General features: G+C 42.9%; 1 long non-coding RNA gene across 2 annotated transcripts; it reads left to right on the top strand.

The window, feature by feature from the left end:
- The first annotated feature begins 5,006 nt into the window (after positions 1-5,006).
- Positions 5,007-15,052, top strand: LOC105377947 (uncharacterized). 2 transcript variants are annotated; one of them, XR_001744296.2, is made up of 4 exons: positions 5,007-5,103; positions 7,116-7,198; positions 8,192-8,348; positions 10,803-11,189. It is a non-coding gene; the product is annotated as an uncharacterized LOC105377947 (long non-coding RNA). The 2 variants fall into 2 exon arrangements; XR_007059710.1 differs by lacking the exons at positions 8,192-8,348; positions 10,803-11,189 and adding an exon at positions 14,675-15,052.
- The last annotated feature ends 370 nt before the right edge of the window (positions 15,053-15,422 follow it).

The raw sequence follows: 15,422 nt of genomic DNA on the forward strand, positions 1-15,422 counted from the left end.
ACCAAGTCCTGGTAATTAACATCTCTGGCATCTTTCTCTTTGAGAAGGACTTTTGTCCCATGGCAACATAATAGCACTAATAAATGTGATCTGAATGCATGGCTGAAAATGCACATGATGGTTAGAGGTATAAGAGTGCCTGTAGTAAGTCCCCTCTGTCCCTTCTATTGGGGGAAATCCTCTCTTCTTACGCATTCAAGTCTATCCCTGAGCCTGTAGGACCTGGCTCTCCCAATTATTCCTTCTCTCTTATATTTTCAATTACTTTATTTTCTCTGGCTTTTTCCTTTTATGAACAAATATGTACAAATTTCCCTGAACCTTAAAAAACAAAACACACAAAAAAATAAAATCTTGCCATCAGCCCTTTGTTCTTGACCGCTTACAGTCGAATTTTTGTATCATCATTCAGCTGAAATTCCTGCTGACAGGGCAGTCACCTCCCAACTGCCAGATTCAGAGTCCTGTTTTCTGTCCTCCTCCTTGTATCTTCTGCAGCATTTGAGGCTCTGAACACCCACTCCTTTCTGATAAGCCCTCCTACACTGGCTTCTATATCACTACTCCCTCTTAAATTTCCCTTGTAAACTCCATCTCCTGCCTGTTGTATTTCTTTGCAATTTTCTTCACAGTTTCTCCTTCTTGGCTCACTTTTAGAAGTCAGTGTTTTCCAGGTCCTGTCTTACTCTTGGTATTCTTCTCCTCTCTCTAACTGTGTATATTTTCCCATGTGAACTATTATCCCAAATGCAATTGTCATTTTTCTACAGGTAAAATGTGATCAAGTGTTGGTAATTTCATATGTTTCAACCTATCATAATTTCCATACCTCTGTTTCCAGCTCTGATCTGTCTCCTAAGCTTAGATCAATATTTCCAATGACCAACTGGATATTTCTGATTGGATGGCTTCCAGTCAAAATGAATACATCCTAGACAAAATCCTTATATCTCAAAACTTCTCTACCTTAAATATTCTTACTCTCAGTTCATAGTGTCACTATCTCCTCAGTTCCTTGGGTTAAAAAACTCAGTCATTCTTGAATTCTTCTTTTTTCCACTGTAGCCAAACAGTCAAAAACTCAGAGGATTCTAGCCCATGAATATCCCCTCAGTGTTGTCGTAGGTCAGGCCATCACCGCTGCTAGCCTGGGTGGTACAATGGCTCCATCCGTGGAATCCCTGCTTTGACTTGCACTCCTCTCCAGCACATCCCTTTACACTGTCCTAGGGTCTGAATGTTTGTGTCTCACAACATTCATATGTTGAAAACCTTATCCCCAATGCCATGGTATTAGGAGGTAGGGCCTTCAGGATGTGATCAGATCATGAGGATAGAGCCCTCATGAATGGAATTAGGGCCCTTTATTATAAGAGGCCCCAGGGAGAGCTGTCTTCCTCCTTCTACCATGTGAGGACACAGCTAGAAGTTGCTTTCTATGAACCAGGAAGTGGACCCCTACCAGGCACTGAATCTGTCAGCACCTTGATCTTAAACTTTTGATTCTTCAGAACTATGGGAAATAAATTTATGTTTATATGTGACCTGCTTTATGGTATTCTGTGATAGCAGCCTGAATAAACGAAGACACGCTGAAATAAATGAAGACACCAGAAACATCTTTCCAAAAAGCAAACCTGACCACGGGAGTGTAGGACTTATCTCAATCTATGACCTATAGCTACAGCTTAGCTCATGTCACTCTGGTACTCAAACCTTCACCACAGTCATTCTGATGGAATGGCTTATTCTGAAACACCAGATCCTTTCACGACCTTGTGCTTTCTTCTGTCTGAAGTGTTTTCCACATTCACGAAGCCTCTGAGAACCAGCTGAAAAGCCACTTCTTCTATGAAGGCTTTCCCAAATCTGCCTGCCAAACTGATCTTTCTCTGACTCCCATATATTTTGCCCATATTTTTGTTCTATCACTTTATGAATCAGCTGGTAGTTTATCCATTTATGCACTGGACTTCTCTAGTAGATTAGAAGCTCAGATCATATCTCTTGTGACCAACACCTGATGCTCAAAAAGTGTTTTTTCAGTAATTGAATGAGATTATTGAAAGGAATCTGGACCAAGATGAAAATTCTAGATTGAGAGGGATCATGGAGTTTTCAGATCTGGGTTTATGTTTTTGTGTATAAGCTCATATTGCTGCCATGGAAATATATTCACTCTGCTTTCCATAGTTGTAAAATGAGAAAATAAATAATTTACTAAATTCATGGCATTTGATTGATAAAATACCAAGTACAAGTTGGATCTCTAAGGCAAAGTTGTACTTGAGAATGTCCACATTGTCATGACATGGTATATTTCATTTTCAGTGGAATTGCACCATGTAAGAAATGTACGATGTTATGCAGTATTATTCTATAATACATTCAGAGTGGATCAATTTCTTCTTTTATTGAGGTAACTTGAGTAAGGCCCCTCTTGGAACTTGAAAGGAAGCTGTAGACCAGAGAAGGTAGAAAAAAATTGAGCCTTCCATTTAGTGTTTTTGGTAAATAAGCAAGACACCCTCCTGAAACAGGGTTCCAGTCTAATCCTGATGTCTAGGAAGGATGGGTGCCCAAGACTGTTGTTGGATCATTTGTCCTCAGTATGCCAGCTGTTAGCAATACCCCCTGAAGCCCTAGAGTAGAACAGAGAAAGAAAGTTGAAACCACGTTCAACCCAGATTCAGTGGAAAACATTGAACATGTGGTCATCTTCTCTTGGTTGAATCGAGTTGAATATTGGGGCTGGTGTGAGCATGATGGACACAGCCTACATTGCCTAGCCCATGCCTGGCACACGGTCTACTACTCCTGACTTGTGCTCAAAGCAGTACTACATTATTTGTATTTCCCTGCATGTAATGCACTCTTCCCTGCCTCTTTGCTTTTGTTTACATTGTTCTCTCTGCCTAGAATGTCCCCTGTCCATTTTGATGAATGAATCCCTAATGAGGATCAGTTCAGGCATCACTTCCTTGAAGCCTATTTCTGACCATTCCCTTTTCTTCCCAGCATGGGTTTAATACTATTCATCAGTGCTACCATGTACAGTTGTGCAGCATTTTCACTGCATAAAGTCACCCTGCTGAGGGAGTGAATTTCTGCATGCCAGCTCAAGCTGTAGCATCTAGCATATGCCTTGGGGCTGGGATTGTTTTCTGTTTCGCACAAAGGCAAACCCACATGCCCTGTGCACATTCCTATCACTGCTATGACCACTACAATGAACATCTGTTTATTTGTTGCCCCCTCTAGATCCCTGGAATGCCAGCTCTTGTTGGGTTCTAACAACTATGGAGAGCTAGTTGCTATTCTAGGAACTTCAGATGCCTTAAGTCATTTATTTTTCTCAATTATCTTCTGAGGTTAGCCAAATTTACAGAGGAATAAACTGAAGCACCAACGGAAGAATAATGCTTCTAAAGTCTCACAGAAGGCAAGCGTGATGCCAGGATTCAGCCTCAGGACATCAGGCTCTGTGGCCCTCGCTAGCCACTGTACCACACTGCCACTAGATGAATGAAAACTTCTTGGGCCTCCACTTCCTTGTGTTTCTCCTCCTTCAGGGGAAAATGCTGTCTTTGTTTGTAACTTTCAGCGGAGACACTCCCAGGTGTCAATGTGTATCTCATCCACATGGTGCAATCTGCCATGTTCTGAGAGCTGGTCTCCATGGAGTTGGTTCCCAGCTTCCTTTTCTAGAGAGTGCCAGAGAGATTCCATATACAGAAGGTAAGCTGGAGGGCCAGGCCTTCTAGGCAAAGGTTTTGGATCTGGGGATTTGCAGAAGAAGGCAAGGCATATATGGAGTAGGGAAGAAAGGAAAAGGAGGGGAGTGATAGCAAGCAGCGTGCCCAGAAGAAAAGGGTGAAGGCTCACATTCAGTCACTTGTCACCGTTAAATATGAAAGGGCTGTCTTGAAGAGGTTGGCTGGATAGGGTTAGGAGGAGAACAGCCACGTGGGTGTCTGTGAGAAAGGAAATCTAGACTTACCACACTAGTGGCGGTACCTTCCCCTAACATCTCGGTTGATGAGAATGACGATGGAGAGTGTGTGAGGAGGAGGGACATGGTTCCTCTCTCTTCTCCATCCTGTCCCTGAGGAAGTTCTGCTCAGAGCAAGGGCTGCCAGCAAGAGAGAGTAAAGTTGGGGTGGAGGTGCTTACAGAGGGTGATATAGTATTGAGGTAATAGTGGAAGAATGGAGGCTCTGCGGAGAGCATGGGCCAACGTGCCTTGAGGATGGAGGAGGCATCAGGAAGGCTCAGGGATGCAGCCTGGACTTTGCCATCTAACATTCACAAGAGAAAACTCCCAAATCAGTCCCAGATTCTTCACACTGTCTCAGGTCCTCAGATTTTCTCTAACGCATGTGTTCAGCCATTCCTCTATCCGTTCTCCACATTTCCTGGGTCGCAACAGCCTTGTTGGCTGTGGAATGAGAATGAGATGTGAGAGAAGGTCCAGCTGGCCTTGGGTTGAACTAAGCAGCTTCAAATAAAGAATGCCTCTGTAGTGGGTGTGAGGCCAGGCCACTGGCCCGAGCATTTGGTGGTCAGGAATTCAGACTCTTCCTCTCACACTGACTCAGCCTGTGCCTTTGGGTGACTCGGTTTCTCAGGACTTTACACGGGGATAATGATACTCCCTACTTTGTGAGGGAGTATTAATTAAAGTTAGCAAACTGCGTGACAATGCTGGGATGAAAGGGGTTAAAAACAAAGTGTAATTGTGAGGCACAGTAAGTTGTGTCACTTACCATATGTGTTGTGATTAGAATCGATATAGACAGATAAAATTCATCTTAGAACATAGGCTCTGTGGAGAATGGGTCTCATTTTAGAATGGTGTTGGAAGCCACCTTGGTCCCCGAACTAAAGTCAAGAGAAAAATGTGGATTTGCATGGGATGCGTGTTCGTGGGCTGACACTTCTCCCTATAGTCTTGTAAACAGTGAAGAAAGCTGATTTTCAAATGTCACATGTTCCAAGTTTTCCTTCAGAGACTTCATACCTTTGCTATTCAATCCTCACTCCTCACTGACAGAGATCTTGATGACAGGAAACACGTCCCCGGTGAGCACAGCTTGATGGCAGGTAAGGGATAAGGGGTGCCTTGGAGAACCAAACCTGAACACTTTTCCCCTCTCCATAAGTGGCCCTTCCTGAGAGACTAAAAAATGTGAGCTTCCTTATTCCAGTGGTCAAAGGCTGGCCGCCAGCATTTCTTCCTGGCCCCGGACACTGTTCCATGACCCTGGAGCTCCTCGGGACAAGAAGTCACACATGATGTGGCTGAGACAGAGCCGTGATTTCAGAGTGCTGCTCTCCTCTCTTTGTTTCACCAGTGCTGGCTGAGATCCTAGAGCAGTTTCTGCTGAATTGATCAAAATGATGTCGTGTGTGAGGCTAATTTTTGGAAATGGAAATCAGTGTCTCTTGGAGAAACTAAAATGCCTGATAGGCCCCAGGGGAAGGCTGCAACCATCACATCACTGTGTGCTGGAGACTTCTGCAGGGGTTATGTGTGATGACGTGCTTGCCTCTATGTCTTGAGGTATAAAGAAATTAAATAGTTAAGAAAAAAATGTCAGACTGAGAAACCCTGAAGAGCTTTAGATTCTCTCAGGTCTATCAAGTTAGGCAACAACTGGGCCATCAGATCAGGGAATTCATGCATTCATTCAAGAGCTGTATTGATTTATTGAGCAATTTCTGTGTGCCAAGCGTGTTCTGAGTGTTGATGCAGCAGTGGACACACCAGACAAAAATTCCTGTCCTTGTGGATAGCGTTCTATTGGAGAGACATCCAAAGCAGAGGAAAACACTTATAGCATCACTACTTGAATGATTAATTCTGTTTCCAGCTGTCCTGCAGCTGTCTGGGATTTGGACCTTGGTCTAATCCCAATCTTACTGCATCCCTTTCTCTATAAATTAGGAGCAGTGACATTGTCTAAAATGAGGACTAGTTGTTGCCATTGACTTTAGCTTAGAAGTAGGGGTGATAGTCATAATATTAGCAACTGGTATAATACAAGTGCTGACCAATCATAATGGGCACCTGTAGTTCCTGCTAGCATTAAACCTTTAGATTCGAGGGTCTTGAGAGAAGGATTGAGGTAGCTGAGATGGCGAAAGATTCAGAGTGGGGGTACTTGGGGGCACTGGCTATTTACGAAATGGTACAGAAGTATTTCAATACTTTAAACATAGCCTGGTTAAATCCAGACAATACCAGATGAATAGCAATCCACTGTTGTTTTTTGTTTTCTTTTTTTTTTTTTTTTTTGGTGGAGTCTCACTCTGTCACCCAGGCTGGAGTGCAATGGCATGATCTCGGCTCACTGTGACCTCTGCCTCCCGGGTTCAAGCAATTCTGCTGCCTCAGACTTCTGAGTATCTGGGATTACAGGCACGTGCCACCATGCCTGGCTGATATTTGTATTTTTAGTAGATACGGGGTTTCACCGTGTTGGTCAGGCTGGTCTCGAACTCCTGACCTCATGATCTGCCCTCCTCAGCCTCCCAAAGTGCTGAGATTACAGGCATGAGCCACCGTGCCTGGCCTTGTAATCCATTCTTGAAAGAATCTAGAGAAAAGGACATACCCATATGATGTCTTGGTCAATATGCTCACTGATAAAAGATCCAGCAACCAGCAGAGGACCTAGTACCAATTTAATATTTTGAACCAGGATTAGAATTCACAGATACTGAGTCTCCACAACCTTATAAAGTGACTTTGAAAACAAGATGGCCTTTAAAATTGTCATAAATGGCTGCCAGGTGGAGCAGGGCTGTGAGGGGCACCCAGCCTCTGTAAAAATAAATAGTCTTTATTGAAAAGAATGCAACAGCCCTGGAATATGCTTTGATGTGGCAATGGGTTTTTTTGGATCTCTTCTTGCCTGATCATTACTTGGTTTACACAGGACTTGGCCAGGGAGGAAGACACACCCCTTTGACAGGTAGACAGGAAGCACTATTGGCAGGGAGCAGCTGCGAAGCAATCCTAGTTGCCATCATTGGGGTGCTGGCATAGTACTGGTCCTGCAGGTTTCTAACTTGTCATCCTAGCTGGTAATGTCTCCTGGTTTTTATGGAAGGCTTAATTGGAGAGTGTCTGATGCCTGAAGGACTTTCCTGGTTGACAACCTTGAAAATGGTGAAAGAAAGAAATTGAAACCAGGTAAGCTCTTCCTTGTGCATTCTTCCCTCCCTCACAGGTGGAGCCTGGCAAAAAAAAAAAAAAAAAAATACCTGTTCAATGAGATGCACAGTAAATGCAAGGATGGCTGCAATGAATAGAGGCTGCCCAGAGAATGAATAGAGGCTGCAATGAATAGAGGCTGCCCAGAGAGTTACCTACCCACTTAACAGTCTCATCAAATTTGCTAACAAATTTGCCTGGTGAAAGAAAGATGTCGATGTCAATCGCTCATGCCCCTTTCAAAGGGAAATGTCCCCTGTGGCCCCAGTTGGTTGCTCACTTTTGTATTACATAACCAGTGGTGGCCAGAAGACCTCAGGGAAGGTAGTAGTTCACAGACTTGCCAGAGTCCTGTGACAGGGCACCCACAGAGCTGGGCCAATCTAGCTTTGCCTTTTGTGTATGTGTCCCTGGACTATTGAGAGTCAAGGAGGGGGATATGTGGGTGCTGTAGCTGACAGTCGTTGGGTGGAATCAGAGTAGGGGTGCTTGAAGCATTCATGGCTGTGTTGGTCAGATGGTGGGGAGATTGTAGGGAAAAACACAGGTGCCATTGTGGAGTAACTGCTTCATTGCTTCATTCATTCATTCAGCCACTATTCATGAACACCTACTATGTGTCAGGCACACTGCTGCCTACAGGGGATACAGCAGTGAACAAAGTAGACAAAAATCCCAGGCCTCATGGAGCTGGCATTTTAGTGGGGGAGACAAAATAACAAAGAAAAGTAAGAAATATATATCAGGTAGTGATAAATCCTTGGGGCAAATTAGAAGTAATATAGAAAAAAATGGAGGGAGAATAAATGAAACAAGAGTGGTAAAACTTAGACAACTGATTGGTGATGGATAGATAGGGGCTCATTTTACTATTTTTGAGTATACTTACCATTTCTTATAATAAAAAATTTAAACAAGAATGCAGGTAAGTTGGATAAGAGATGTTACGGTAGTGTGGGCTTACAATTTTAGATCTCACTGAGTGGGAAGGCCTCACTGAGCTGACCTGTGAAAAAAGACCTACATGAAGTGATAAGCAGATATCTGGGACAAGCATTCCAGGCACAGGGAACAGCATGTGCAAAACCCTGGAGACAAGAGTATTCCTGGAGTGTGAAAGGACTACAAGGTGAGCAGCATGGCCAAGGCAGGGTGGCTGAGGAGGAGGCAGTAGATGGGGCAGGGCAGGGGGAGGAGGATCACACAGGGCCTGTGAGTCATGGGGGGGATTTTGCCTTTTACTCTGGGTGAGATGCGGGGCCACCAGAGCATTCTGAACAGAGGAATGACACGACCTAACATGGGTTTTGGCAGTTCTTGGAGCTTTGGGAGTGAAGGTCCGCTAATCCCTACGTATGGGGTCCACTGAGCATCCCTGAAGGCAGGTGCTTTTAAGACCTAGTTCTGTTATAGCTTCTGTTCTTAGATGAAGCAAAGGAGCCCATTTATTTTTTTGTTCCTCCATGTAACCCCACAAAAAATCACGTTTGTTCAAGATAGCTTCAGTGAGACTCTATCAAATTGAAACAAACTGCAGGAACAGACACTTTTTCTCAGTGCATGGCTGCCACTCTTGGAGAGCAGGAAAGATGTGCAGTAGGAGCACCTGAGCGGCTCTTCACCACAGCTCAGGAAGGGAGGGGAGGACTCTGAGGCTCAGGAGGAGAGGGGAGGACTCCATGGCTCAGGAAAAGTGGGAAGAATACCACAAAGTCTGTGCAAGGTGAGATCTCTCTCTGATTCATAGGTCTTCCACTGGTCTAAGGCTCTTTAAGAAACTTTAAGACAAAAAAGTACACTTGAACCAAAAGCAAATTTAGGTGTATATACATATTTATTTATTTTTAAATCTCATGAGAAATAATAAAACACAAAGACATTCCCTGTGCTCCTCAAGTAGTAAAATCTGAACCATTACCTGGAAGTTAAAGGGCATAAATAACTGAGTGGAGGTGGCTGTAAGGAGAAGCACTTTAATGAGTATTCCCTGCTGTATTTGATTGTTCAACTAGGCTTCTTCCATGAGGATCTTATTTTCCCTGGCATTTATCACGTCAGTAAGGTAGAGGAGCTCCTATCTGAAAATAGCACCTAGCGCTAAGTCTGTCTAAGGCCTCCCGTCCCTTCAGTCCCTGAAGCTAGCTTCTCTCCTCACTCCCATCTAAACCTGAAAAAGTCAACCCTCTCATTAGGCCTTGCCCACAAATACCTCCATCAAAGCTAGGACTCACACAGGAAAATGTGCTGCAGGAGCCCATGTGACTTCCTCACATAAGAATGTGACAAAACCAGTTTCCAGAGAGCTCTCATGCTCTGACTAATGAATGAGCAAGTATGAGCCGGATAGCTTCTTCTCACATTATTTTGCCTGTGGAATCCTTTTGTACTCAAGATGCCTGAGCCAAATGCTACATTTATTTTCCATGTAAAGGTTTTACTGGGAAAGGAAAATTTTTTAAAGATTTTTTAAAAATCCATTGTGTTCTTTTGCCGTGTGGTAGGAAGAAACATCGCAGCCTTAGGGCTAATTAGCGTTTATGTAGTGTTCATATAGATTGCTCTATATTCCCCTCATATTTACAGTCTGTCATCATTTTACATCTATAAACTACCTTTCCTCCATTAAATTTAATAATCTTGTTTTACAGAAAATGGCAGAGCAGGTGGAGAAGGTGGTCAAATGCCTTAGCATGGATCATATGGTTGTGGTGAAAGAGTTAGAATGCACACTACTCAGTGTTGATGTACACAGAGAAGCAATGCTCCCGGGCTGGGGCCCACCCCAAACCAGCACAATTAAACCCGTTTACAGTTGTTATCCAAGCAACCTGACATGGTTTCTGTACTTGGATCAACATTGAGTCCTTCTCCAGAACGTGATAGAAACATAAGGCAGAAGAAGGCTTTAGCCTACTCATGGAGGGCATTTTCTATTTCTTTTCTTTGATTCAACTTGAACACCTGACTGAGGGAGGCAAAATTCCAAGATCGGCCCTGGCAGTTAGGGCTCCTCTGTTGCAAAGGCTCTTGTGTAGCAAGGACATTAGTTCTTCTAGGCCATGAGGGTACTATTTAGAAGGGCCCTGGGAGGGAGATTATTCCCCTGATTTTGCAGCAAACCCATCTTTAGGAAAAAATGACCTAGGTATTGAGGTAATTCTGGTTCCAATGTAACTTTGCTCCTATCTTTCTTTCCGTCTTAAGTAGGCAAATCAGAATAATTTCAGTGTATTGCTATGAGCAGGGAAACAATGAAAACTATAAGCCTATTCACAGCTGCCCAAACCTATCCTGAGAAGCAAACTGGTTCTCAAAATACGATCAGCTAATGACACATTCTATACATACCTGCCACTTTATTAATGTGCTGAAAGCCAAATTGATTTGTTCTGGTTCTTCATCAAGGTTACCCAAAGCCTGAACCTGGTGTTTTTCACTGGGTGTGATTCTTCAGTTCAAAACAATGATGGACATTTTTCTTCCTTAGGGGACTGTTATGATCATTTTACTTCTTATGTTAGCTGTTGTAACAAATAGACCAGTTTTTCATGGTTAACGTAATAGAACTTTATTTCTTCCTCAGTTTTTACTTGGCAAGTGGCATTTCCCTGGGTGATCCTGAGACACAGACTTCTTCTGTCTTACCTGCCATCCCTTGGATCTTACGTTATCTGCATCAAGTGGGCAGAATGGAAAGAGAATAGGAAGTTCCGATCTAGAAGGCACATTTCTGCACATATTCCAATTGTGAGAACAAGCCACATGGCCACACTTAGAAGCAAACAAAGCTGGGAAACATGGTCTCTGGCTGGGCAGCCAGTTATCAGCAGTAACTCTCTTCAGATGCTCTTCAACCTACAATGTGGCTCTGTCCCAATAAACCCATTGTAAGTTAAAAATATCATAAATTGAAACGCATTTTCTACACCTAACCTACCAAACAACATAGCTTAGGCTAGCCTACCTCAAACATGCTCAGAATACTTATATTAGCCTTCAGTTGGGCAAAATCATCAAACACAAAGCCTATTTTATGATGAAGTGTTGAATATCTCATGTAATTTATTGAATGCCATACCGCAAGTGAAAAACAGAATGGCTGTATGGGCACTTGAAGTATGGTGTCTACTGAATCTGTATTGCTTTTGCATTATTGTAAAGTTGTAAAATTGTAGGTTGAACCATTGTAAGCTGAGGACCCTCTGTATTAGGAAAGGGGGAGTAAAACTGTTGGTAAATATCTAGCCATCTCTGTCCCATTTCCTTTGGTAATGAAAGTAATGAAAGTTGATTATTTTCTGTGGTCCTTTAAACCCTAGTGCCACTTTAGAAGGTGCCCAAATTTCACCTTCTGCTCCTTACACAAAATCTTCAAGTGTCTGGAAAAGCCATAGAGCAAGGGACTATGCTGCATGCCTATTGCGTATGGGTTCAGGCATGTCAGGGCCTGTCCAAAGGCTGGAAGGAAATCTGTTTGCATGAGATCTTAATGAGCTTCAAGGAGAGACAGTGGGTGGCTGAGCTGGGAATGAAGACAGGAACCCTTTGCTTTCCATGTGATACAGGAGATAGAAAGAAAATATTTAGGCAGATAGTGAGGGCAAAAGATTCCTTAGCAGAACTTCCCTTCTAACAAAAAGCAGCCCCAGAAATAATTTTTTTTTCTAACAAAGAGCAGCCTGAAAGATTGAGCTGCAAGCATAAACAACGAAGCTGGGAGCTTGCACAGGGGAACGCTGGCAACTGCGCCAATAGAAAAGGGCTACCTGGGGGCCAGGCATGTCCACCATGGAAGCTCCATCTTCCCTTTTTTGTTAGCATGTGTACTGTGGGCAACATGGTGCAGCTCAGGCTGAAAACCCACCTGCATAATAAAAGACTGGGGTGGAGATGGCCAGAGATTCGCACCCTACGCAAATGGCATACCTGGTCCTAACCAGTTTTTCGCATTCTATGTAGATCAGACACCGCCTCCCCACCAGCTCATCTATAAAACTCCCTGCATTTCACTGCAGATAGGCAATTCATTTTTCTGGGACCCCTCGCTGTAGCAAAGAGCTATTCTCTTTCATTCACCTATTAAACTTCTGCTCTTAACCTCACTCTTTGTGTGTCTGCGTCCTTGGTCTCCTTGGCTGTGAGACAACAAACCTTGGATGTCACCCTAGACAACAAGGCCACTTCACATGCAGAGACTTGGATGGGGAAGGACCCACTATGAGGGAAGAAGAAGGGCTGAAACTTTTAGGTCTGTAGATTCTGCAGAAAGCATGGGCTGGCTGTATGGGATCAGAATGTTGGGATGTAATTAAGGACAGCATTATTGGGTGTTCTTACTATTGAGAATCAAACCTTCTACACAGGCTTCTGTCTACACATGACTTTATTCTACTGCTTTCATCAAAGTAACTTTATTATTCCAGGCAACTCTCGCCAGAGAGAAAAAAGTTACAGATAACTTCATTGACTTTAGCAGGACTACCTGAAAGACCTATCTACTCTTTAAGATAAAACATCAAATGACATTTTACACCCTAAGACTCTTGAAACCTCTTGCCTCAAAATTCTGCCTTGTTTTTTTTTCCAGCAATCCTAAATTATAATATCATGATCCTTGCTCAAACCTAACCATACGCCCGCATTGAAAGACCTACCTAAAACCAGATCTTACAATCTTAATAAACATGCCTTCTCAGCCCTCTCCTTTCAAGTTGCTTCCAAGACTCTGAGGAGCAGTATTTTTCTTTACTCCCGTAGGCAATAAACTTAGCTTTGACTTATCAACAGGTTGCTTTGGTGATAGTTTGCACAGCCAGCATTCCACAATATCTCCTAGTTTGGAGGACATGTGCTATGTTCCAATGGTAAGGGAAACTAAAAAGATAAAAATTTTACTCAAATGAAAAAGTGGTTCCATTGGCAGCTCCAAGCCACTGACTGGGCCCAACTGTCTCACACTTTGGAATAATAAAGTCCTTTAAGCACTAGTGGAAGAAGGACTCCACTTCTAGACTGTGATCCATAGAAACACAACAAAGTAACTAGTGGAGCGGCAGGACAGCCAGGAGGCAGAGGTCCTTGCAGGAAGACTCTTCAAGGTAGAGAGTGGCAGAGGCAGGAGGAAAGTGTTGGCTGCCCAGAGTACACCCAGGACATGTCAGGAACTCTTGCACAGGCAGCAGTGATGATTTCATGAATGGTGCGCTTAGCTTACTTACTAGTTACTTTTCTCTATACTGTATTCCCCAAACCCAGGGATGCATGGTTATACATAAAAGATTGGCATCAGAAAGGCCCATGGTCATAAAAAATGAGTCCTTCAGTTATCAGCCCAGATAACCAAGCAGCCACTAGAAAGAGAAAGTATGGCAAGTGGGTTAATACCAAGCAGGAGAATGCCTGTGAATGCATGCTTGAATGGAAATGAATGAGAGAGGATAAGAACCTATGGGCTCTGGGCTATGGGGAAATGAAGGCATAAAGGGACTAAAGAACACGTGATACTTAAAGTAGAAAGGAGTTGAGATCCCAGAACAGGCTAGGGTTAAGAGGCTGCCTTCTCCATAAACTGAGATCCTAGGACCCCTTCAGGACCCCTCCTACAACAGATTTTGGGCTAACATCTAATTCTCTGCTGGGTTAGGCAAGAGGAAAGGAAACACAGAGGATTTGTAATCTCAGCAGGGTAAAGATTTGTATGAAATGCCCCTGTGAAAACCTTCACTTCCCTTGAGAAAAGTATCAGGCCATAGGTCAGTCACACTGTAAATGAAATGAGCTAGTCAGCTTACTTGCCTTCTGACATTTATATGAGGAGGGAGAAATTCGAGTTTGTGTAAGGGTAGGAGGCTTTGAGAGGTATGGGGTATTGGGGGAAGAGGGAGAAGTTATGCAGAGCTTGACACACTTCAGAAGAAATCAGGTGTGACAGGATGTTGTAATGGGGCCCTGAAACCAGAGGAAATAGTATGACATTCAATGTGTGTATGTGCCGGGTGTTCACAGGTGAGAAGGGGACCAAACAATATGAGGACCTACTCATAAATTTGTTTCCTAGACCAGAAATCCTGCATTTTGGGACTAGTGTTGGCTCAATATTCTAGAGGTTTTAATCTGTATGATGAAAATATTTGGTTAGCACTGGCCTGTATGTCTGAAGAATACATATTTCATTTTAAAGGTGGTTAGAAAAGAAATATTCTGAACAAAACAGACACCTCAAAGATCTGAGCTTTATATATAAGGGCAGCATCACCTTTTTCTGTTAGGCGGGACAGATCATCTGGTTGGGGATTCTAGAGTCTTACCACTCTCAAACCCAACTGCTGAGAAACCCACACTGAAAACTGAGAAGTCAGGCTTATGTCTTGAGACTAAACCCTAGTGACGTCCAGCTGAGCTTTCAGTTAACTGTTTTGAGATATGGTGAGAATAGCAAACTCTCCTTTCTCCTAGTTCTCTGCTGTCAAATGGAGAAAAACAAAAACAAGGGTCAGAGAGCTATTTTTATTGAAGATCTCAAGAAGGACCAAGTCATTCATCAAGTGGAGCGGATGTGGTCAGGAAAAAGGACTGGCCAGAGAAAATCCATCTGCAGAGCCTCATCCTTATTGGTCATTTTTCCCCAAAAGACATCCCAGGATTCCTGTATCCTCTGAATGTGACCCATCGCCACCTTCATCATCAGCCTCATCATCATCAATGTTTACTTATTTTAACCAATAGATACACAATATAAAATTCTTGGATGAAGAATAGCATTTTTTGAACTCACCTTTAATACAGAGAAGTATGGAGAGGTTAAACAAATAAAAGGATAGGCTACAATCTCAATTTTGATAAATCAATTTTTAAAAACCTGTCAATGGTTATAAAATGCAAATATACAAATAGGTATATTTGCATAATTTGTTTATTTGCCGTCTGATTGATGGACACATCCTACTTATTTATTTTTTGGTATTACACATTTTATTGCTATGAATATCCTCAAATGAACAACTTGGTGAACTTTTAGACATATACCCATAAGTTAAAGTCCTAGCACTGGGTTGGTTGAGTTAAAGGCTGCATGCATAAAAATCATGGTAGGTCATAGTTACCCTTTATTGAATAACTAATTTGGGCCAAGAAAAGTTTTATATGTTATTTTTAATCCTCACAACAATCTTTCAAGGTCATTGATAGTATTAGTGATTACAGG

Source organism: Homo sapiens, chromosome 6 (genome assembly GCF_000001405.40).
Source record: "Homo sapiens chromosome 6, GRCh38.p14 Primary Assembly".
NCBI lineage: Eukaryota > Metazoa > Chordata > Mammalia > Primates > Hominidae > Homo > Homo sapiens.